This window comes from Homo sapiens, chromosome 2 (genome assembly GCF_000001405.40).
Source record: "Homo sapiens chromosome 2, GRCh38.p14 Primary Assembly".
Taxonomy (NCBI): Eukaryota; Metazoa; Chordata; class Mammalia; order Primates; family Hominidae; genus Homo; species Homo sapiens.
In genome coordinates this window covers 169924796-169950300 of record NC_000002.12, presented here as the reverse complement: position 1 = coordinate 169950300, position 25505 = coordinate 169924796, and the positions used below count along the sequence as shown (strand labels likewise).

The 25505-nt window shown below is 35.3% G+C and overlaps 1 protein-coding gene across 1 annotated transcript in view; it reads right to left on the bottom strand.

Moving 5' to 3' along the window:
• Positions 1-25505, bottom strand: part of UBR3 (ubiquitin protein ligase E3 component n-recognin 3) — a 256678-nt gene that overhangs the window by 133831 nt on the left and 97342 nt on the right. Inside the window, exons 14-23 of the mRNA NM_172070.4 lie at positions 24554-24682; positions 23557-23609; positions 23330-23463; positions 22896-22981; positions 21433-21574; positions 17293-17389; positions 7667-7808; positions 3909-4013; positions 2586-2759; positions 236-696 (exon numbers count right to left, since the gene is read on the bottom strand). Of these exons, the coding sequence (NP_742067.3) occupies positions 236-696; positions 2586-2759; positions 3909-4013; positions 7667-7808; positions 17293-17389; positions 21433-21574; positions 22896-22981; positions 23330-23463; positions 23557-23609; positions 24554-24682 (1523 nt within the window). The remainder of the gene's footprint in view (positions 1-235; positions 697-2585; positions 2760-3908; positions 4014-7666; positions 7809-17292; positions 17390-21432; positions 21575-22895; positions 22982-23329; positions 23464-23556; positions 23610-24553; positions 24683-25505) is intronic.

Here is a 25505-nt window from a genome sequence, read left to right as displayed (position 1 = left end):
ACAGGTTTAAGGTAGTAATTTTACATTGGGGTCAGAAAGTCTCACCTGTCCATCAATAAACTCAATACATCACATGTACAAGCACTGACTATGCTCCATTCCATTTATGTTACAAACTAATCAGCTATGACTGTTCCTGTTAAACATCCAGGTGATTATCCTCAAATGACCAAAAGGAAGAAAATATCAAATTTTCAACTATACACACGTTTAAAACATTAAAAATAAAAATTACCTTTCTTCTTTGTCCAATGTTTTCTTCTCTGCTGCAGTGACTTTTTTAGGTGGTACAGGAGGGGTCACTTTTCTACATATCTCTTCAATGATGCGTTTGTTCATTCTACTTTGCGATGCAGCTTTTAGTAAAATTCTTTCCACGGCAGTTATACCATCTCCATGACTGTATTTAGGAATTTCTGGTTGGATTAAAATTTCTATGTCATCAAGCCAAGGAGGATAGTAGGAGTTTTGTTTTCCTGAGAGTTTGTGGTGAAGTTTAATTAGCAAAGACAATATGCTTTCTTTAATTTCCAAAATGGCTGTAGTTAACTGTGGAGCTGAACCAGGAGCAGACCATTTACTTGAAGTTTTGGGACGAACCACCTGATTTGCTTCACTGCTACTGCGATTGATGATTTCCTGAAATTTCTTTCTACGTTCTGCTACTAAACTGAAAACTTGAGCTGTACCAGAATTCTACCATTAACAAAGAGAAACAAAGAAAAATCAAGAGAAGTTATTTAGCATCATTTTAAAAACATATTAGTACTATATTTTCTAAAGGGAATGCTCAGTTTCATACAAAGATTTATTCAATAGATTTGCTCTTTAAATAAATTTCTCCCTTGACCTCTCTCTCAAATATATTTAATCCCACTCAATCTAGAAACAGTAATAAGGAGGAGATCATCAGCAGTAACATCTCCTTTTCAACCTTCTGAAAACAGACAAAGCTTAAGTAGTATCTACAGCCATATTAAAGAGAATCATAAACTAAATTATTCATTACTTTAAAAGAGGAAAAGCTGTTCTGGTCAACATTCATGAAGAATAGGATACTCCTTACTAACTTCTGGAAGACTGCTAAAGTTTCCAGTTAAGAAAATTATAAATTAGTTTTTAAAAAAATTTTCTAAGCTAATAAATCTGAACTAGTAATTAATTTCACTTTTAAGGAACTTTAAAGTTTGAAAATTCTAACATAAATGCTTAAAGTTACTAAATTGAAATATAAGGATGAAAAATCAAACTTTCATATTTTAATATGAAATTTAATTTGTTTTATTAAATTTTAATATGAAATTAAAACTGTGATTTGTGATTTGTTTTTGATTTGTTTTTGGTTTGTGGGTCAAGGACTATGATTTGTTTTTTGAACAGTTTTTTTTTTAAACTAAGTATTTTCCTCAATAATTCATCTCCTAAAAAGCTTTTTTGCTAAAGCAATCAAACTGCACCAGGGCTCTCAGAAAACATCTTTTAATTAAGATATGAGTCAGTTTAATGAATTTATTTTTTAAAAGCGAGCATAGAAAGGATGCTGTAATATCAGTTGAGCTTTTGTGAGTTAAATGACAGTATACACTATTTTTTAACATCCAAGCTGTTTTTTAAAGTACTCTCTACCAGCATTAGAGGCAAAAGCCTCTTACAGAGTTTCCAGTTTTTGCTTACAGTGAAAACACGTTGTCAAAGACCAAGAAAGCTCCTACAAATAGACTCTACTAGAAGAAATGTCTGATTCAATGTTCTCTACTCACGAAAATCTAGGTTGTGGAGACTAAAACTGCTTAAGTTTACTTACTTACAATGTCATTTCAAGATTTTTCATTACTGCTTTTTAAAAGTTAACTTACATGCAATGAGAGCGCTGATTTTCAAAATGAGTCCAAAGCCATAATATACAGAATTTAAGACTTTATAGGCTTATTTTATCAAAGTTAATTGCCATAGAAGCAAAAAAAAAGTTATTTGCAAATGAGCATGCTGCTAGCAATTAAATTTATTTTAATTTAGAAAATATCCAAGTCATTTTTAAGATGTTAGTAATACAGTGGCAATGATGAATGTAAAGAGACTCAAATATGCTACCTATAATTGGTCCAAAATACTTCGAACACTAATAAGAAAAATACACTATTATACTCAGTATTATTTTTAAGCTCAATAATATAAATTTTCTTTAATATTAAGCTTAAATCACTTTGTCAAAAAAAAAAAACACACATAAATCCAAGAAACCTTCTTTTAAATTTAACCATATTAATTAAACACCCATACACACACAAATACTTCAAAGCGGTTTTTCCCCATTTCCAGTTAAAGCCATGTTGCTAGTTAATGAAAATATCATACACATCTACCTCTCTTTGAAGAACTTTAGGCCGTCGTGAACTCTGGCAGATTAAGGGAAAAAGACTGGTAAGGTAGAAGTTACATAGATATATCAGAGGAAATAAAAGACAATTTAAAGTTATCTACAACCACATTTTTTTTTCTTTTGGATATTATAGGAACAGTATATCCCAACATAACATACATAACATAAAGCTTTTTCTTATTTTCTTTCTTACATTTACACTTACTTGTAAAGAACCCAAGTTATCAGAGCTAGTACTTGCAGGTGAGTCTCTCTTTACTTCAGGAGCAGTCTCTGGAACTCTTACTCTAACATAGTTTATAAAGTGTCGCATGTTTGACACTAAGTTACTGCCAGGAAACCAACTGTCATGACAACGTTCTGGTCCACCCACTGATGCCTAAAATAAAAAAAAAAATGAATATCAAGTCTTGCCACATCACGTCCAAGGTACAATGGAGATGTAACAAGCCCCCCAAAATCATCCACTGCCTATCATAATCCTGAATCCCTTATTGTCTCATCCACAAATTATAAAGTGAATAAATTTAAATAATAAAACCAAATTCAAACAAAAAATGCAGGAATATCTCAATACTAATATGGGTATGTCCAATGGAATCAGCTAAATTCCTGATTTAAAATACATTTTTAAATACATTTTTCAATCTAGAATACTGAACATTACAGAATATTCATCCTCACCCATTAGTAATACAAATAATGCTAATTTGGACAAATTGGGAGGAAATTGAAAAATCAACCAAAGGTATCACTAATCATAGAGGAATCTTTATAACCTTTTAAAATCTATGAAAGAACATATGTTGATTCAACTTGGACTACAAAGAACTACAAAGTGGTTTCTTTAACTTGTTTTTGCTATTATTATGCTGTGTTATATTTTGTCATTTAGGAGGGAAGAGATGAGGAGAATCTTACACATTAGTAAAACTAATTTGTAGTAACAATTGCTTTTATGGACACAATACTTCTAAAGTCCTGAAACAAAGTAACAACTTTTAAGTACTTTAAACATTCTCCCATATAACAATATTCATGCCATTACCTTCAAACCTTTACAGGAAGAATTTGTTACTCAAAAATAATCCCTAATCAAATTATTAGAATTTTTGGAGCTAAGTCCTAACTTCAGTTTTACTGGTTATTTATTGATTACTGGTAATTGTTTGCCAATAATCAATTTTCTTAGCATAACACCAAAAATGCATTAAACATTTTTCTTAATTTTTGTGATAGGAATTACAAATTTCAAATTCAATAATTCCATAATAGAATTTAATGTATCAATGAAGGCCCTAAAAAACTGTACGTATTTGAAGATCCCAAAGGGCCTTTTCTAGTAGTTCTTTAAAAGATCTTATGAGTCTGATGAAAACATAAATACACCTCAAGATGAATTCACAAATACATTTTCCTAAGGTATGTCATAACTAGGAAAAGTATAACATGCCTGGTTTGGCAACAATTGGTTGGAGCCAGATAGGGGCTGCCTATCTAAAAATTTTAAATTATAAAAACTACTTACCTCTTCATCTGATTCTTCTTCAGCAGAATTTTCAAGTCCTAATTCAATCAGATATAAAACCATGCAGAGTACATGTTCTGACAGATTTTGATGATCCATCAAAATCTTTAAAAAGGGAAGAAAATGCCTCATAATTACTTTTTTCCACAAAAGGTATTTCATTTAGAGATCCAAAAATATTTTACTGTTCTAGACGAAAAGTACTTTAATATCTAGAAATACCAGTTCACAAATTTTCTAAAGGTATGTCAGAGTCCACTAAAAAAATTCATACGAATATAAGTATTTAATAAAATAATTTAATAAGAATATTTTTATATCCTAATTTGCTGACACTCTTCTCTTGATGACAAGGCCATCAGATAAATAAGTTTACCAAATAGGATAATCCATGCAAATGTGTTTAGCACAGCACCTGGCATATAACTGGCAGCACAATAAATGTTTATGGTACATTAATGTTCTTAAAAATATGTCTCTAAAATTAAAGTTCTGAGCCTCTGAGTATTTTGAGTAGCTACATTCTTATGTATGTCAGTGTGGGATTTATATGGAGGAGAAAGGTAGAAGGAATGCAAGTGGTTAGTAAAAAGGCTTCTCTGAGGAAAATTTGATACATCTGACCTATAGATTACTCAATACAAGCCTTATACATCTTACACAGGATTTCTGGGCTACCTACACCAATCACTCATTCAATATGATATAACAGACCACTAACCAGAAGATACCTAAAATACCACAAGTAACAAAATGGCCTGGCAGATATCATCTTGTCCTCATTATAAAAGTCATCTGGCCAAATGATGGAAAGGATGAAAGGAAGAAATTCTGTAGGCAGCAGCAGTTTTAATTGTGGGCGAGATAGCAGAGAGCAAAAAAGAGGACAGGATAAGCTGAGCCTCACAGAAGCTGCCCAGATGGCTGAGGGGACTTGGAAAGGAGGTCTTAATTGCTTAAGACCTAACCTACCACAATTAAAGAATAGAGAGACTTTCAAGTCACTGACTCTCTCATGTTTTTCTGACTATTCAGAGGGCTTCTATATTCATCTGTTGTGTGGCACAGTGGTGAAGAGCATAGGCATTCAAAACCTTTTAAAAAACAGATTTTTAAACAAATTTCTGTCTATTCCTAGTTGACCTTCAGCAACAGACTCTGGTCTTAGTTTTCTTATCTCTAAAATTGGAATTATAGAGCCCCTCCTAGCCCTTTCACTTGTCCCATCCCCAACCAAAAAAAAAAAAACTAAAAGAAAGAAAAATAAAACTGAAATTATAGCCCAGAATTGTTGTAAGGATTGCATGAGTTAATATCTGTCATTTGCTTTGTATAGTGTCTAGCAATGGGTGTTCAACAAATAGTGAGTGGGTGGTGCCAATGATGTGAGGAGCAGAGGCAGCAGCAGGAGGAGACTGAAGGCTGGGAGACCACAGAAGTCATCCTTTCTGATCCACTATGTTATGGAGAGAAAACCAAGGCTCAGCCACACAACCAGCTAGCTAGTGTAAGCAACACTAGAACACAGACCTCAGACCCCCAGGCCACTGACTATCATTACTATACTATCTCCTCTTGATAAATAAAACATTACCAGCTAAATTCAATTAAATTTTCACTTCACAGCTTGTGGGATTACAGCTTTAATTGAGTAACTTCAGAGCTAAAGAGGAAAACATCCCTCTATTAGGTACTTCAAAAAAAAAAAAGAAATAAAAATGATGTTTCCAGGGAGTTTTATTTTGACATTAAACATGTCAGAAGATAAAGGTGGTTTACTAAAATTGATTTTTAAAAAGTTGACTTGCCAACGCAATGTCAATGGAGAACTTTATTATTACTAGTAGTAAAATCAAGAAAGTTATTTTAAAGTTGAGAAAAATTCATTTATAATAGTCTTGTAACAACTAAAACATTGTCTTTTTATTTTTCATAAAATACTATTTGTACATTTAGCATACAAAAAATTGAAAAATATAACTTGAAAGAGCATAATAAATAATTTGCCATAAGGCTTCCTTAATTTTTCATGAATTACTTGTCACTTATTAATTATTACTTATAACAGTACTTAGCTTCCCCATCTGAACTAGTTATTTAACTTCTAAAACTCAATTTCATATCTGAAAAAGGAGAATAATAACAGAACTTTCACTTATAAGGATTTTTGCTAGCTTAAACAAAATAATGTCTACAAGTATATATAAAGCATTTCAAACAAAATCTGGCACTAAGTAAACATTCAAAGACTGTCCATTATTTGTAAAACAAATACAAATATCTTTTCAGTACAAAAAGATATTCTACATTTTTTAATAAAGAAAAAGAGCATTTTAAATCAATTACTGAATAACCCTCTTGGAAGTTAATGAAAATAAACCACCCAAGGTGTTTTTTGAGGCACCTGTCCAAAATCGTAACAGGAAAACTTTAGAAACAAGTACACTGAAAAATTGGTCACGGGTAGGGTTGAAAGGAAGAGAAGTATAGAAATTTAAAAGTACTATTTCATTATAAGATTAAGAAAAAAAATAAAATTCCTACCTAACTAAATACATACTTTCTTAAATAATGTGTTAAATGATTGTACATAGTAATTGGAAATTTGTATAACAAATATTCTCATTTTTCTTTGAATTTCTTTTAATTTTTAATTTTTCAAATTCTAATTAGGAAGAAGAACAATAGGTTTTCTTTGTATCTACCTGCATAACATTTATCATGTCTATATAGTTATATTATCTACATGAGTATAGTTATTTTCTTTTTTCTTTCATCTTTCTTCCCCCTCCAAGTTGGAGTCCTGCTCTGTCACCCAGGCTGGAGTGCAGTGGCACAATCTGGGCTCACTGCAACCTCCACCTCCCGGGTTCAAGCAATTCTCCTGCCTTGGCCTCCTGAGAAGCTGGGATTACAGGCGCCCACCACCACACCCACCTAATTTTTGTATTTTTAGTAGAGACAGGGTTTCACCATGTTGGCCAGGCTGGTCTCGAACTCCTGACCTCGTGATCTGCCCACCTCAGCCTCCCAAAGTGCTGGGATTACAGGCGTGAGCCACCGCGCCCAGCCTTCTTTCATCTTTCATGCAGATGAGATTATAAAAATCCCTATTATATACACACATACATACTATACAATATTATGCTTCACACAAGTTTTTGAGTACACAATTAATGTTAGTCAAATAAATCTGTCTTACGTGAGAAGATCCCAAAATAAAACAAATTTTAGATAACAAGCAAGTAAAAGCATCATCTTGTTAGTTCCTAAAATGTTTATCAAAAACAATTTTTGATCTTGCCACATAGAAACCACACTCAAATCCTTCCACGTCACTTTCCTGATTAGAGGGAAAAAGCAAAAAGAACCCCCCAACCTAAGATTCACTGCCTCACATAACTGCCATTCTAGTTTTGTCATTTTAGTGGGTTCTGATGGTTGTTTGGTCCCTGTAGCTCATTCCACACCTCCTGTAGTTCCACGGTATTTCACTTACTGTTCTACAGAATCCATAAATAAATACTTTTATCGGTAGCTAGATAAGATAAATAGTTTCTCACAAAGAATGCTGTAGCTATTCTGTTATGTTCAACTTGGATTTCAAATACATGTGATTATAACATATCTTCATACATCTTAAATGCATAAATACACTTTGCTTTATAAGTGGTACTTTTATGTAAATATTATCCTTTAGGATTATTATTTGAAAATAAATTCTAAGCTTAGTCTTTCTATTCAAATTACTACTGTACCTTGTAAAGCAGAGTGAATAGCACAATGTGTAAAGTTTTACAGTGCAAAAGTCTCATAAGACCTTTATAGCTAGGATGGAGTGATGTCCTTTTCTTATATGGAGGCCAGGGATTTCCAGGAAATTTTCCACTCTGTTTTAAACTGTAAAAATAAAACAAAACTAGAATTAGATGATAGCCTCAAAATCAAACTGTGGTTTAAATGTAATTTATAGACACCAATTTCTGTCACAATATTTTATGCAGTGCTATTTTTAATCAAATTGCTTAAAATGCCAAAGAGGTATCTATTCTCTACACAATGAACATTACTATTTCTTTTCCTAATGGCTAAAGATGAGTAAAGAGAGCTAAGCTGAAAATTAAAAAATATATAAACTTTAAAGTGCTAACAAAGAGAAATGAACAGAAAGAATACACATGAAGTACTCAGCAAGGAAATTTCCAGCTGTAACGATTAAGCAAAATAGACGACCTGAAAATTCTCCCACTACGAATGGTTGGAAAAGCTGGATAAAATATAAATGTAATCTTTTGAATGCGTATTTGAGCTCACACAAAAGTGGAATTCTCCAGTTACCAGAAAAAAAGAAGGAATTAATGACAAGCACTAACACTGTGCCAGTGGTTTTAAAGTCCTTGAGCAAACAGATCACAAGGTATGTTGGGCTCACACAAGGCTCAGAGATAGAACTGATATCCCATCTAAAGCTGAGACCCTTGACAGGCTTTACCCTCACTGAAAGAGTAACTCACAAGGAGAATGAATTAGCTTGTCTGTCTCTTCTGGGATGTAAGAACAAGTTCCCCAAGAAGATAATTATGAACTTGTATGCAAATACAGTAGTCCCCTCTTATCTTCAGGGAACACGTTCCAAAGCCCCCAGTAGATGCCTGAAAATATGGATAATAACAAACTCTCTACATACTATGTTTTCCTACACATACATACCTATGATAAAGGTTAATTTATAAATTAGACACAGTAAGAGATTAACAACAGTAAGTGATAATAGATTACAGCAATATACTGTAATAAAAGTTAGGTGAATGTGTACATGCTTTCTCTCTCAAAATACCTTATGTATAGTAGTCCCCCTTATACCTAGTTTCACTTTCCACAGTTTCAGTTACCCATGGTCAACCATGGTCAGAAAATATTAAATGAAAATCTCCAGAAATAATTCACAGGTTTTCAATTGGATGCCATTCGGAGTATTGTTATAATTGTTTTATTTTATCTTTAGTTATTACTGTTAATCTCTCACTATCTCTAATTTATAAATTAAGCTTTATCATAGGTATGTATTGTAGGAGAAAAACATAGTATATATAGGGTTTGGATACCATCCCTCATTTCAGGCATCCACTGTGGGTCTTGGAACATGTCCTGAGGATAAGAGGGGGACCATTGTACTATACTCACTCCTGTTATTCTTGGGATGATATGAGATGATAAAATGCCTATGTGATGAGATGAAGTGAAGTGAATGATGGTAAGCACTGTGACATGGTATCGGGCTACTAATGACCTTCTAACAACATGTCATCAGAAGGAGGAATATCTGCTTCAGGTGATCCTGAATCATCAGGCCATGACAATGTGATGGCTGGATGTCAGGAGCAGACAATGTCAATAACTAACAAGTGAGTAGTATATACAGCATGGTACACTGGACTAAGGAACAATCCATATTCCAGGTGGGACAGAGCAGGATGGCACAAGAATTCATCATCCTGCTTATAATGGCATATAATTTAAAATCTATAAATTACTTATTTCTGGAATTTTCCATTTAATATTTTCGGACAGCCATTGGCTACAGGTAACTGAAAGTACAGAAAACTAAACCACAGATAAGAGGGGACAACTGTAATAGCAGCCTCATAATACAAAAGGCAAATTTTGAGGGAATTACACAGAGAAAACGACAAATCTACAACCATAGTAAAGGATATTAACATACTTATCTAAATGAGAGCCAGAAAAACATTGGTAAACAGTTTTAAGATTTTTAACAACACAATTAAGAAGCATGGGCAAAGGCAACATGCAACAAGTAGTGAATACACATAATTTTAACAGCGCTTAGAATATTTATAAAAATTGACTATGTAGAATGCAAAGTAAATCTCAAAAATATCAAAAAAACAGATACATGAACCACATTCACTTGTCACATAGCAAATAAAACTAGAAACCAACTTAAAAATATAACTCAAAACTCCAGACATGCAGACATTTTAAGGCGCTATGCTCTTAGAAATTCAGAAGCCATTAAAAATCATAACAGAAAAATTTAAAGCCTAAACTATATAGAAAAAGTTGTGGGCCACAACTAAAGTAGTACTTAGAAGGAAATACATAGCCTTAAAATCCATACATTTGTTAAAAAATCAACAACTAAGCATCCAAATTATAGTTAATAATAATGTATTTTATATTTCAAAATAGCTAGAAGAACTGTAATGTTCCCAACATAAAAAGAAGATAAATGTTTGAGGTGATGAATATCCCAATTTCCCTGATTTGATCATTACACATTGTATACATGTATGAAACTATCAGAGAAGTATCTTCAAATACTGTGTAAAAGGTAATGTTAAGGCTAAGATATATCAATTAAAAATATTTTTAAAATCTATAACAATAAAAATTAAAAGGGAGTAATTAAAAATGAAAACCAAATGCACTGAAACAACAGCAATGACCAAGTATCCAAGAAAAGGAAAAAAGACAATCCAAACTAAATTGAAAGAAGATAATAATGGCCTGGCATAGTGGCTCACACCTGTAATCTCAGCACTTTGGGAGGCCAAGGCAAGCAGATCACTTTGAGCTCAGTAGTTCAAGACCAGCCTGGGCAACATGATGAAACCCTGTCTTTACAAAAAATACAAAAATTAGCCAAGCATGGTGATGCACCCCTGTAATCCCAGCTACTCAGGAGGCTGAGGTGGGAAGATCGCTTGAGCCCAGGAGTTAAAGGCTACAGTGAGCCAAGATTGCACCACTACACACCAGCCTGGAAGACAGAGTGAGACTGTCTCAAAAAAGGAAAAAAAAAGGCCTGGCACGATGGCTCACACCTGTAATCCCAGCACTTTGGGAGACTGAGGTGGGCGGATCACGAGGTCAGGAGATCGAGACCATCCTGGCTAACATGGTGAAGGCCTGTCTCTACTAAAAAAAAAAAAAATACAAAAAATTAGCCGGGCGTGGTGGCAGGCGCCTGTAGTCCCAGCTACTCAGGAGGCTGAGGCAGGAGAATGGCATGAACCTGGGAGATGGAGCTTGCAGTGAGCAGAGATCCTGCCACTGCACTCCAGCCTGGGCAACAGGGCGAGACTCCATCTCAAAAAAAAAAAAAAGTTAATAAGTAATAGAGGAAAAAAGAATAAGAATGAAATAGAAAATGGGGGTGGGAGGAGAGAGACAATCAAAACTTGGTTCTTAGAAAACATAGTAAAACTGATAATCATCTCATATGACACCTAATTCAAAATAAGAAATAGCAAACACAAATAAATAATAGGAATAAAAACACAAGGAAGATTTTTTTAATCATTAAATATAAACGTAAAATAAAGATTTCTTAGAAAAATATAACTTAGTAATTTTTTTCAAGAAATAACCTAAGCAAGCCTAAAACCTTTAAAGAAAGTGAATGTGTAGTTTTAAGTTATCCACAAAAAAAGATGTATGAGGCCCAGGTTGTTGAACAGGCAAGGTCTATTAAAACTCAAAGGAACACCACATGAATAAGAATTAAGTTGGACCACTACCTCACAGCATACATAAAAACTAACTCAAAATCGACCAGAGAATTTGATGTAAAAGCTTCAGCTTTAGTTTTATATTTTTAGGCATAAAACTCTTGGGGAAAAACATAGGTTTAGGTATCTGTGACCTTGATTTAGGCAACAGAAGGAAAATTAAATTAATTTAGGCAACAAACAGGAAAATTAAAGAAAAAAATTGGAATTCATCAAAATTTAAAACATTTGTGACCCAAAGAACACTTTCAAGTAAGTGAAAAAGACAATCCACAGAATGACAGAAAACATTTACAGACCGGGCACAATGGCTCATGCCTGTTATCCTAACACTTTGGGAGGCTGAGGCAGGCAGATCACTTAAGCTGCAGAGATCAAACCAGCCTGGGCAACACATGTAGAGACCCCATCTCTACAAAAAATTCAAAAATTAGCCATGTGTGATGGCGTATGTCTGTAGTCCCAGCTACTCGGGAAGCCAATCAGGACCACATGAGCCTGGGAAGGCCCAAGGCTGCAGAGAACTGTGATCATGCCACCAGCCTGGGCAACAGAGTGACAGTGTCTCAAAAAAAAAAAAAAAGGAGAAAGAAAATATTTGCAAATCATATAACTGATAAGTCTAGTATTCAGAATATATGAAGAGGTCTTAAAACTCAATAATAAAAAGTGCAATTAAAAAATGAGCAACAAAATTGGCAGCACCTGATACCTTTATAAATGGAGGTGGGAAGGCAAGGGGCTAAAATAAGGAGGATCGGATGAAAACTGCCTTTCCACCACTGAAACAGAATTTTGGCTACAGAACTCATCTCTGGGGAGGATCAAATAGCAAGTACAATTGAGGATATGAGGATGAGAGATTAAAATCATCATATAAGTATTTGACTCAGAGTCCCTAGGCCTTGTCTCTCAATCCGTTTACAGAATAATAGCACCAATACCATTTCCTTCTGGGCAATATCTGAGGATACTTCCCTGAGGAATCTGACCAGGCCAAAAAGAAAGATCTAACACAAGTGCTTCTCAACCAACCTGCCTACCCAAATCACCCTATATTAAAATTCAGAATCTACTAGTTCCACCAATGCACTCAAGAACTCTTAATAACAAGCAGTCAACATTGTCAGACATCTGGGGAATGCCTCTAACTTGAAAGCTAGAGACTGAACAATAGAAAATGCATCTTAGATGGATTAAAGACTTAAATGTCAGACCTAAAACCATAAAAACCCTAGAGGAAAACCTGGGCAATACCATTCCGGACACAGGCATGGGCAAGAACTTCATGTCTAAAACACCAAAAGCAATGGCAACAAAAGCCAAAATTGACAAATGGGATCTAATCAAACTAAAGAGTTTCTGCACTGCAAAAGAAACTACCATCAGAGTGAACAGGCAACTTACAGAATGGGAGAAAATTTTTGCAATCTACTCATCTGACAAAGGGCTAATATCCAGAATCTACAAAGAACTTAAACAAATTTACAAGGAAAAATCAAACAACCCCATCAAAAAGTGGGCGAAGGATACGAACAGACACTTCTCAAAAGAAGACATTTATGCAGCCAACAGACATATGAAAAAATGCTCATCATCACTGGCCATCAGAGAAATGCAAATCAAAACCACAATTAGATACCATCTCACACCAGTTAGAATGGCGATCATTAAAAAGTCAGGAAACAACAGGTGCTGGAGAGGATGTGGAGAAGTAGGAACACTTTTACACTAACTAGTTCAACCATTGTGGAAGTCAGTGTGGTGATTCCTCAAGGATCTAGAACTAGAAATACCATTTGACCCAGCCATCCTATTACTGGGTATATACCCAAAGGGTTATAAATCATGCTGCTATAAAGACACATGCACATGTATGTTTATTGCAGCACCATTCACAATAGCAAAGACTTGGAACCAACCCAAATGTCCAACAATGATAGACTGGATTAAGAAAATGTGGCACATATACACCGTGGAATCCTATGCAGCCATAAAAAAGGATGAGTTCATGTCCTTTGTACGGACATGGATGAAGCTGGAAACCATCATTCTGACCAAACTGTCGCAAGGACAGAAAACCAAACACCGCATGTTCTCACTCATAGGTGGGAATTGAACAATGAAAACACTTGGACACAGGAAGGGGAACATCACACACCGGGCCCTGTTGTGGGGTGGGGGGAGTGGGGAGGGATAGCATTAGGAGATATACCTAATGTAAATGACGAGTTAATGGGTGCAGCACACCAATGTGGCACATGTATACATATGTAAGAAACCTGCACATTGTGCACATGTACCCTAGAACTTAAAGTATAATAATAATAATAATAATAAAAAGAAAACGCATCTTAGAGGAAACAAATACTACATAGAATGAAGAAAAAAAATCTTCAAAATAAGAAAACTATCATTAATATATCAGAGAAATATGCTGTACCTATGATTATGAAGATGCTATAAAATTAACTTTGCATTTAAAAAAATTGGTTTCTGGGCCAGGCACGGTGGTTCACGCCTGTAATCCCAGCACTTTGGGAGGCCAAGGTGGGCGGATCACCTGAGGTCGGGAGTTCGAGACCAGACTGACCAACATGGAGAAACCCCATCTCTACTGAAAATACAAAATTAGCCGGGCATGGTAGCGCATGCCTGTAATCCCAGCTACTAGGGAGGCTGAGGCGGATGTATCGCTTGAATCCGGGAGGCAGAGGTTGCGGTGAGCCGAGATCATGCCATTGTACTCCAGCCTGGGCAACAAAAGTGAAACTCCATCTCAAAAAAATAAAAATAAATAAAAAATAAATAAATTGGTTTGTATATAATACTACAGTGACAACATATAAATGTAATTTTCAAAATGATCCCAATAGTCATGATGAAATATTTCAACTATTCTATTTCATTTAGCATAAAAAAAGCAATTTTTAATTTTACTTCATTTCTTTGTTTGCTTTAAGCAGTAGCCACTAAATATGTGGCACCTAGATTAATAAATTGTTCCAAAATAAAGGTTATATATTTGTTGAAGGCCCAAGTAATACATCATTTTGACTGCTCTTTTCAAAAGCATTAATAGAATAATGCAAATGAAATGCTACATGACAGAAAAAAATTATTTAAGTGACTCAAACCAACACGTAATTATTGACTAGTTTGAGACAAAAATGATATATATAAACTCATACATCATACTTTCAAACATGGGGCAGCAGCCATTAACCTTCAAGATGGGAGACAGGAGGCAACAGAAATATAAGAAATTACATATTTTAAAAAATGTACTTTACAGTTGAATTTAAAACAGATGCTTTATGAAATCATTTCTATCTTTGGAAATGGCCTAGCTCATAGTTCTAACAACACTGCCACTGTCAGACATATTTCACTGGGCACAATGGCTCACATCTATAATCCTAGCACTATGGGCGGCTGAGACAGGAAGATCACTTGAGACTAAGAGTTCAACACCAGCCTGCGCAATATAGCAAGAACCCACCTCTACAAAACACTTTTAAACAATTAGCCAGGCATGGTGGTGTGCACCTGTAGTCCTAGCTACTCAGGGGGGTAAGATGGGAAGATCACTTGAGTCCAGAAGTTGGAGGCTGCAGTGGGCTATGATCACGCCACTGCACTCCAGCCTGGGTGACAAAGTGAGACCTTGTCTCAAAAACAAACAAACAAAAAACAGACATATTTTCACTGAGCTTTTCTGAGCCACAATGTCTTCATATATAAAATATAACACTGAAATGAATGGATGGTTTTCCAACTGCTGGTTTGCTTTGTTGTTGTTGTATTGTTTTTGTTTTCTTTTTAAGAGTTGAATGCCCACTCAGGGGTATTTGGAAGGGAGTGAGGGAAGCAGGATGAGCCACTTTCACTCGCTTAAGCCTCTTCTTGCTGTTGCCCAACTCTGTCTTCCAGTGATGGCCCACAAGACGCTTTTATAAAACCTGGACTAGATCTTAAAGGCCTTTTCCAGCAATAAGAGCCTAAAATTCTAAGCATCTAAGCATCACATAAAGCAAACGGCTTACTTTCACTTAAACTCTCAGCACAAAAACTGAAAGAAATCTACTTTTCATTCGTTTAACAAATATTTACTGATTGCCTTTAAAGTGCCTGGCACAGAGCTAAATTGTGAGAACACAAAAGTTTAAATTTATCTGACCATTTTTCATTTTAGTTTGCAAGATGACCTCCAAAAGGCCTGCTTACAAATAAGAAAAGATCCCTCCCAGTATAATCAGTTAAGCCACTTTTTGTCCCTTAAAATTAAAAAGCAGATGAAAATGATCAATAGCAAACAAATCGGCCAGGCACGGTGGCTCATGTGTGTAATCCCAACACTTTGGGAGGCCGAGGCAGAGCATTCAATAAATATGTACTGTTAAATAAAATTTCCCATTTAAAATTGATTACATTATTTAATGATTCCTTCAAAGCTTTGAAAGTTTCAGCCCAATCTCAGTACAAATTTCTAGTAACTACAAAGTAAAAGAGAATAAAATTTACTTAATTCTTATACATTCAAAACAACTAACCATCATCACTACCCTGAAAAAAAGGCAGAGCCATTTAAGACTGGTGTTTATGAAGTCTCAATAAGGTTTTCCATGCAAATGCTTCTTCCCAATTTTCTTCATTTTTCAATTTTTCAACAGGAATTACTCAAATTTATTTATTCAACAAATATATTATGAATACCTACTAAGTGCCAGAATTGAGATAAGTATTAAAGATGTAGACGAGATACAGAGATAAAAATATATTCCCTCAAGGAGCTAAGAGTTAAGTAAAAGACTACAAGCAAGTACATTTTTACAAAACTATATGAAAAGCAGAAAAAGAGGGAGTTAAGAAACCAGAGAAAGAGAACCTCAGTCTAATTTCTCCAAGGGTTTAGAGAAACGGAGAGAGAGATGCCGATGGCTGAACTGGGTTGTTGTTGTTGTTGTTGTTGTTGTTATTGATTTAAAGATCGTTTTGGTTTTGTTTGGGGGAGGAAGTGAATTAAAATTCCACATTAAAAATTTTCTTCAGATATTTGTCTGTGATAGATATTTCTATTACTGCAAAGTCTTGGCAAAAGAGAAGTTTCACTTTGATAGTTATCTGGATAAGTACTAATACTTTCTCAAAATCAAGGACATTTGCATCATTTAAACTTGCTTTTTAAATGTTTAACTTTAGCTGTAGGAAAGCACAAGTAAAAGATGATATCTTGTGATATTTGGCAATATAATATTAACTATTAAGGTTTAAAAAGAGGTGAAATAATACATTTACAATGGTCTACAATTTACAATAACATACAAAATTGAATTCTGCATTTAAAAGATATCTTTCAAAATTTTTGTCTTCTGCAGTCATCAATACCGTAAACTATTTTGTTAAATATTTACAAGTAAAATTAATTTTGCTTTGGCTATTTTCCCAGTTGTCATGAACACAGAAATATGTTCACTTATTACAGACACCCGTCACCATCTCTGATGTCAGAGAATTCTATTCTCTTAACTTGTGCCTCCCCTACTGGTTCAAAAGTAGAACAACACAAAACCAAGCCTTTAATTCCACTGATGGAACAGCAACTAAATAAGTTTCTGTTTTTTAATTTAGTGATCATGTTCTAAATTTATCAGATTAACATCAAATTTTGGATAAAGATCTTAACATAAATCTCCACCAGATTATTTTTTAAACCTTAAATTATTATTTTCACCTTTAAAGAATGAAAGTATACTTTAATGAGAGCATATCATATCTGTGTTATCACTGAAATTTTTCCATATAAATATAAAATACTGTTATGATGCTAATCAATTTGATGGACTTACAATGCAGTATATCTGTCCATTGCAGACTGCACATCTCTACGGTAAACTGTTCGAAGAATGACCATGACGGGGTCAAACTCTTGATCCCAGACTTCAGCTATTATTCAAAAGAAAGTAGAAACATTGACTTCTCAGAAATAAAATCAATATTTATTGACTTATTACATTTGTTAAGTATATTTTACATTTAAAACACAGAACAATTTAATCTGATTATAGTATTTGCCTTAAGAAGCTTGATGCCATGATTACTTTTCTAAGTCAAAAATCACAATTTCATCATCAGGAATGTTCTCTTGAGTTCAGCAAGCACTAAAGAACAAAAGTTTTGTAATACAACAATGCCTCACCAGAAAAGTTTACTTCATTGTTGTTGTTGTTGTTTGTAAGGTGCCAATTAGAAAGAAACACAGCAGGTTAGGATCTCTGAGAGTATTTAAAGTTAAGCAGGGCATGATGCCTTACACCTCTAGTCCCAACTACTTGGGAGGCTTAGGCAGGAGGCTCACCTGAACCCAGGAGTTTGAGACCAGCCCAGGCAACAAAGACAGACCTCATTTCCCAAAAAAAGTATTAAACAAAAAAAGTACTTAAAAGTAAAAACATGAAAACTAGATTTAAAGATTAATGAGGCTGGACACGGTGGCTCATGCCTGTAATCCCAGCACTTTGGGCAGCTGAGGTGGGCAGATCACTTGAGGTCAGTAGTTTGAGACAAGCCTGGCCATCATGGTGAAACCCCGTCTCTACTAAAAATACAAAAATTAACCAGGCGTGGTGGCGCACACCTGTAATCCCAGCTACTCGGGTGGCTGAGGCAGGAGAAACACTTGAACCCAGGAGGCGAAGGTTGCAGTGAGCCAAGATCACGCCACTGCACACCAGCCTGGGCAACAGAGTGAGACTCAGTCTCCAAGAAAAAAAAAAAAAAATTAATGAGCTATTGATTTTGAAGAGACCCACTTTATAAGTCTTTTTTGTTTATAAAAGATTTTCTGCTCCTTTGCTAAAACTGATAATTTGTCTTCTTACCTTCTGCATAATTAGGAACCACTATCTTGTGTGTGGAATGTGTACAACTGATGGTTCACAAGATGATTTTAAGTATTAAGTATATAAAGCTTTTCATTTTAATAATTATGTAATTATTTTTAATGTGTATAATGTATATTAGAAAATTGTAACTTGCAAATAAAATTCATGACACCTCACTAATAATCACGCTTAGGAAGAGGCAAGGTTTTTTTTAAGTTAACTCATTTTAAAAAATAGTGAAATACTAAGTATATTTCAGTAGAGAGGCTATTTAGATGTGGCAAAAATCTAAAGGATAAACTGAGATAATAATTTTAGAAACCACCGCCTTAAGAGTATCTCCTTAATAGATTTTTTTCTCTCATTCTCTCTAGCAAAATTCTTAACATTTGAAAACATGGTAAGAAGCTTAAGCTTCTCCCTAACCATCCACTATAATTACAACCTTCTAGCACAAGACACTGTTAACCATTGTTAACCACTGTCCCTAGTTTCATGTAACAAGCTATTCATCTTAAAGTATCAGAAGTATGACTTAAAATTCTGAAGACAGTCCTTCACAAAGATCTTTATTAGTATTTCTAGAATCATTTATCGTCCTTTTTTTTTTTTTTTTTTTTTTTAAGACAGATTCTCGCTCTGTCACCCAGGCTGGAGTACAGTGGCGCGATCTCGGCTCACTGCAAGCTCCGCCTCCCAGGTTCACGCCATTCTCCTGCCTCAGCCTCCTGAGTTGCTGGGACTACAGGTGCCCGCCACCAAGCCCGGCTAATTTTTTGTATTTTTAGTAGAGACAGGGTTTCACCATGTTAGCCAGGATGGTCTCAATCTCCTGACCTCGTGATCCACCCACCTTGGCCTCCCAAAGTGCTGGGATTACAGGCGTGAGCCACTGCGCCCGGCCTTGATCGTCCTTCTCTTTAAAGTCTATTATTTTGCATAATTAACATGCCAAAGCTTTTATCAGAATTGCACAACCTTAGCAATGGAAGAAAACTTCAGTGATTAATTAGTCCAGTGGGCTTCAAACAGTGTTCCATGGAGCTGAATTACCACAGATGTATAACAGGGGCCACTTTAGGAGCAAGTAGATAGCAGGACAGAGAAGAAGCTAGGTTCACTACCCACACCCACTTTAACAGGAGTAAGCCAGCTTTTGTTGGTTTTATATTAATATGACAAATTCACTTAAGGCTTAGTCCCCGAAACCAGAGGCTTGTTTCAACCACTTTTAAAAGTTTAAAAACTTATTTTACAGATAAGAAGCCAAATCCAAAGATAAAAAAACTGGCTAGGCATGGCGGTTCACACCTGCAATCCCAGCACTTTAGGAGGCTGAGGCAGGAGGATTGCTTAAGCCCAACAGTCGAGACCAGCCTGGGCAACACAGCAAGGCCCTGTCTCTACAAAACACATGAAAATTAGCCAGCATGGTGGTGGGTGTCTATGGTCCCAGCTACTGGGGAAGCTGAGGTGGCAGGACCACTTGAGCCCAGTAGGTCAAGGGTGCAGTGAGCTATGATGGCGCCACTGCACTCCAGCCTGAGCGACAAAGTGAGGCTCTGTCTCCAAAAAAATAACAAAAAAAAAAACAACTAATTTCCTAAACCACACAACTAGCAAATATAATTCATATGGTATTTAAATATGACACTCAATTTCCTTGCTCTAATCTCCGAATGCCCAGTATTCCATCTCAGCATTGTTCAGAACAGTCATCTAAACAGCTTGTTTTAAAAAGCAGATTCCCAGATTTCACCCACAGAGATTCTGATGATAGCAGATAGGAGGTGAGACACAGGGGCCTGCATTCTTAATGAGGAGCGCAAGTGAGTCTGACAGAGATGTAATCGTCACATCACACTTTTATAAGCACTGCACTACACCACAGCACCACTCCACTCCCAAATTCATCTAATTTTACACACAAAATATCCTCTACACTAAAAAAATACTGTGCTTTTCTTTTAATGGAATACTTTCCAACCAGAGACTGGATTTTCTTGCTCCTTGTGAACTCCCTGAAAAATCCCAAATAAGGCTTTTCTGTTCTGCTTTGCCAAACACACACAGTACAGTGTATATTATTTACAACTTCAAAATGGGCATTGGTTTTTCATTTAGACAACGTGTTGAGGGAGTCAAGAAGCACGTAACTGCTACTTCCTTCAAAATTTTCACTTAGAGAAGTGAAAATATGAAAGTCAAACAAAAAAAGACTGTGTAAATCAAAACCTCACTTACTTCTGGCTGCTGTCAAGGATGTCAACTATGAATCTATGCGGGAGAAACCTTCCAAAACCAATCATCCACTTAAGGAAAACGTTCTGTGCATTTAACATAGGTTCAAAATGTAAGTAAGTGCTATCAGCATTCTATGTGGACTTTTTTTTTTTGAGATGGAGTTTCACTCTTGTTGCCTAGGCTGGAGTGCAGTGGCCACGATAGGGTCTCACTATAACCTCCACCTCCTGGGTTCAAGTGATTCTCCTGCCTCAGCCTCCCGAGTAGCTGGGATTACAGGCACCTGCCACCATGCCTGACTAATTTTTTTGCATTTTTAATAGAGACGGGTTTCATCATGTTGGCCAGGATGGTCTCGAACTCCTGACCTCAGGTGATCCAGCCACCTCGGCCTCCCAAAGTGCTGGGATTACAGGCATAAGCCACCACACCCGGCCTATACAGACTTTAATTTGAACTATTTCAAGTTAAAATTTGGGTCGTGAGGATTCTTTTGCTGTTTCAAAATCAAATTTGGAGAGTAAATACATTCAAAATATTTTTTAATATACATTTTGTTTTATAGTTTCTGGTTCATTTATGGTTATGATCACTTATAAAAATGAATTAGAGTTCAAATATAAATTTCCTTTATAGTTTAGAGTCATCTAAGAAGTCTTAGTGTAACATAAAGCTATAGATTTCTAAGTAATTGAAAGCAGTATCACTGTTTACCAATAAAGACATACATTTATAACAAAATGGAGAAAAGAAAACCAAAGCTTGAACGAATAAAAGGTAAACATTTTCTTTTAATACACAGAAGAATTCACCATTCAAGAACTGATATTTGAAAGAGTCCATTTATGTATATAAACATACCTTTGGGAGTATACATGCCTTGTTGCATAGAACCTCCAGGTTCAAAAACAGGAGCCTTAAAATCAGCTACAGCTGATAAAACTGATTCAAAGCTGTAACTGCCTGGAATAATGCCACTTTTGGGATTAGGATTTTCTGGAATATGATATATATGTCAAGAAAAAAATATTAGTAACAAAAAGCCAGATTTATAGCCTTTCCAAGGTACTCTAGTTTCTCATTTTGCTGAAGTAGACAAATAGTAATTGGTTGTAATATACAAAGCTGGCCACAAGAGGGCTATATAATACAACAGATCAATAATAACTGTTTTTAATTGTGATTTTTGAAAATATGTTTAATCTAGGAGCCTACTAATAAATTGTATGCTGCAGTAGTTCCCAGGTATATTTTCCCCGAAATAAATTTATCAAATTTCAGAAAACGATAGAAAAACTTTTAAAAATGTGTCTTCATTTTTACCATTTTGTAAATAACTTTTCCTTAAAAAACAGAAAGAACTTGTGAAAAATTAGCCAAGATTTTTATGAGCAAAGATTGTTTTTCCAAAAACACAAAATTTCATCCCCAAAGAAAAAAATACTAAGCAAATATAAGCAAAGAGGCAAACCAAAAAGATTCTCTCCTCACATTAAAGCACATAAATCTTTAAAATTGAAAGACACAGAGATCGTTTTTACTCTATAATAGCACTGACACATAGTTCATAATGACTGAAGGAAATCATCAGACAGTATCAAATTGAGGCTGCTTACAAAAATCAAGGTTGTCAAACAGGCATTCTAATAGGACTTATTTCACAAAATAAAAAGTTTAGCCAATTCTTCCAAACATAGTCATAAGATATACAAATACTAAATTCGGCCAGAATTTTTATCACAAAATTACTTGATAATCTTTGTGTAAAATTTTATTAACATTAACTTAAAAAGATAATCAGATTCTCATTGTATGTTCAGTCCTATACAAAGAACCACAGGTTCCCTGTTTGTACACAAAAATCTATAAATTCAAAAATCCTTTAAGACCAAATTCTACAGAAAAACCCTCAAAATGTTTAAAATCCTGGTAATAATAATCGTAAGGTATACCTTTAACTGTTAACCATGAATTGCATCCTGGCTACACAGACAAAATGGACCTAGCTGCCTTTTATAAAACGTTCAGTAATGCTGTCCACTAGGAGGTTAAATGCTGGGGTGGCCAAAGCCATCATTCAGTCCTGAAATCTACCCTAAAGTCTAAGAAGAGTTCCCCAAGAGGTAATAACAGGAGGTTAAAAAAAAAAAAAAACAGTCACCAGGCTTGAATACATACTTGAGCACACAACTGGTGTTCTTCTTTTTCTATATTATTTTTCAACTTTGAAAAAAAATTAATCAAAAAATTGATAAACTATTAATCATAAAAAATACTTATTTTAGATCCTGCAACTAACAGAAAGTAAAATTTTAAAAGGATATGAGGTCCAGCAATGAACTGTGTGTCCTGTCATTCATACACAGCTGGGCTACCATCTCGGCCCTGAGAATCTCATCATCAGACATTCCTAAAATTATTAAAAACGGAATTAACAAATCTGAGTATACATAAATTATAAAGAAAAAAACTTACCACACTTTTTACTAAGCTGTTTTACCAAATATAAGATGCTTCAAATTAAAGAGTAAAGAAGCTATGCTCCAAACATAACTGCAGTTTAACTGCTGTTTGCAGTTCCCTTAAGCAAAGGATATTCTAAAAGGTATACCTACAGTACAACATATCAAGAGTTTGAAACATTGTTTACATTTATCTACATCCTTTCCTTTTTTCCCTAAGCCAGTTACTACCACAGGGAGGGGGAGAAAGGGAGGAAAACAGTTAATGCATAAGTATTAGTATCAGTGAGTTTTACCTAAATGTAAACGAAGACTCAAAAGAATCACAAGAAATGTAAGAGCGCCTTCTAACATCGACCTCTCATGCTCTGCATCAAGTACTGTATTTTGATGTTGTGATGCCATTGTCAACAAATCCACTACCTTAAATCTACAAGAAGAAATATTTGAAACATATTTTTATAAATTAAAACAAAATTAACTGGACACTTCCTAATACCTGTCTTAATAAAATTATGCCTACCTTTCAAAGACGGATGAAATAAAATAATCTGGGTCAAGTCTAGAAGCACAAACCTTTAAAAGAAAACAAAATGCTTTATTTCTCAATATTCAGTTTTCCTTCTTCTATTAATCATGTTTTTCTATACTTTTTTTTGTTTTTTGTTTTTTGTTTTTTGTTTTTGAGACAGAGTCTCACTCTCACCCAAGCTGGTGCAACCTCAGCTCACTGCAACCTCCACCTCTGCCTCCCAGGCTCAAGCAATTCTCATCCCCCAGTCTCCCGAGTAGCTGGGATTTACAGGTGTGTGCCACCACACCTGCCTAATTTTTGTATTTTTAGTAGAGACAGGGTTTCGACGTGTTGGCCAGGCTGGTCTCAAACTCCTGGCCTCAAGTGATCTGCCTGCCTTGGCCTCCCAGAGTGCTGGGATAACAGGCATGAGCCACCACGCCTGGCTATGATTTTTATTTTCTGTATATTATGATGTTTTGACATCTTGAGGGGCATTACAGACCTGAAGACAGATAGTCCCTCCCAGAGCCAGTTAATTCCTGAACATACTAAACAACTTACTTGGGAAAATGCCTGTCATGCAAGCCAACCACTGTCTTTATCTAACTCTCACACATCAACCCAGTATTTCCCCTCCCCTAAATCAACCCAGGGCCAGGTACCGCAGAGCCAGATACAGCCCCTATGCCTCAAAGCCTGCTGGAATTATTCAAATTAGCCAATCCTGCCTTGCCTTTCCTTGCCTTTCCTGCAGAAACCCCAATAAAGGCTCTGGCCTAGGCTCTCCCCTCACTCCTTTCTGCCTCTTGACCAAAATCTGGTGCTTTCCTTGTAGCCTTGTGTTGGGTGGTATGCCTCTTCTCCTGGGAAATGTAAGTAAAAAATTATTCTTTCAATGGCATTGGCCTCTCCATGTCATCACGCAGTCACCTCTATAAATTAAAATCCCTTGGGTACAAATGAGACACTTCTAAAGTATATCTGCATTATCTAGCTGGCTTACCTGTAACAGGTAAATGTCAGGATCAATCATGGAATTACAGAAATGAGACTGGACATACGTCATGGCTTGTCCTTTGATTTGCAGACCATTTCTTACCCACATATTGCTGTGGATTTCTGCAAGACTTGCCTAATAAAAGTAAATTGGACAAAGAATAAATTATCTAAATGCAATCTTTACAAAATATTATAAATAACCATTTCAAAATATTTAATGATGTGATCATAGTATAAGCCCGATATTCTGTCCAATGTTAAAGATAATCAGTTGAAATATACATTTTTACATTTTTTTTAACAATAATTATGTTTTTACATAGCCACTTTTTTAGAGTTTAAACAAATGAGTTGGTTTTCCATGTTGGCCTCTGGATACATTTATGATGATTTTCACTGACATCTTTCATAAGAAATCAATGCTTATGTTTCACTCTATTTCTCCCTCAAGAAAACCCTAAGTAACAACAACAACAATCCTAATATACATGTTTAAAGAAAGACACTAGAATAAGCATAAAATAAAACCAACTGTTCAAAGTCAATGAATACATTCTACATCTTTAATTCACCCTAACTCAATCTTAAATCTATACTGCTAATTTTCCAAATATTGGAGGTTAGAATAAATGTTCTCACTACATCAGTATTTAATTCTTCATGTATTTATGTCCAGTGTCAACTAAAACTAGGCAGTCATCATTTTTTTTGTTTTTTTTGAAACAGAATCTCACTCTGTCGCCAGACTGGAGTGCAGTGGCGCGATCTTGGCCCACTGCAACCTCTGTCTCCCAGGTTCAAGCAATTCTTCTTGCCTCAGCCTCCCGAGTAGCTGGGACTACAGGTGCACGCCACCATGCCCAGCTAATTTTTGTATATTCAGTAGAGACAAGGTTTCACCATGTTGGCCAGGATGGTCTCGATTTCTTGACCTCGTGATCTGCCCGCCTTGGCCT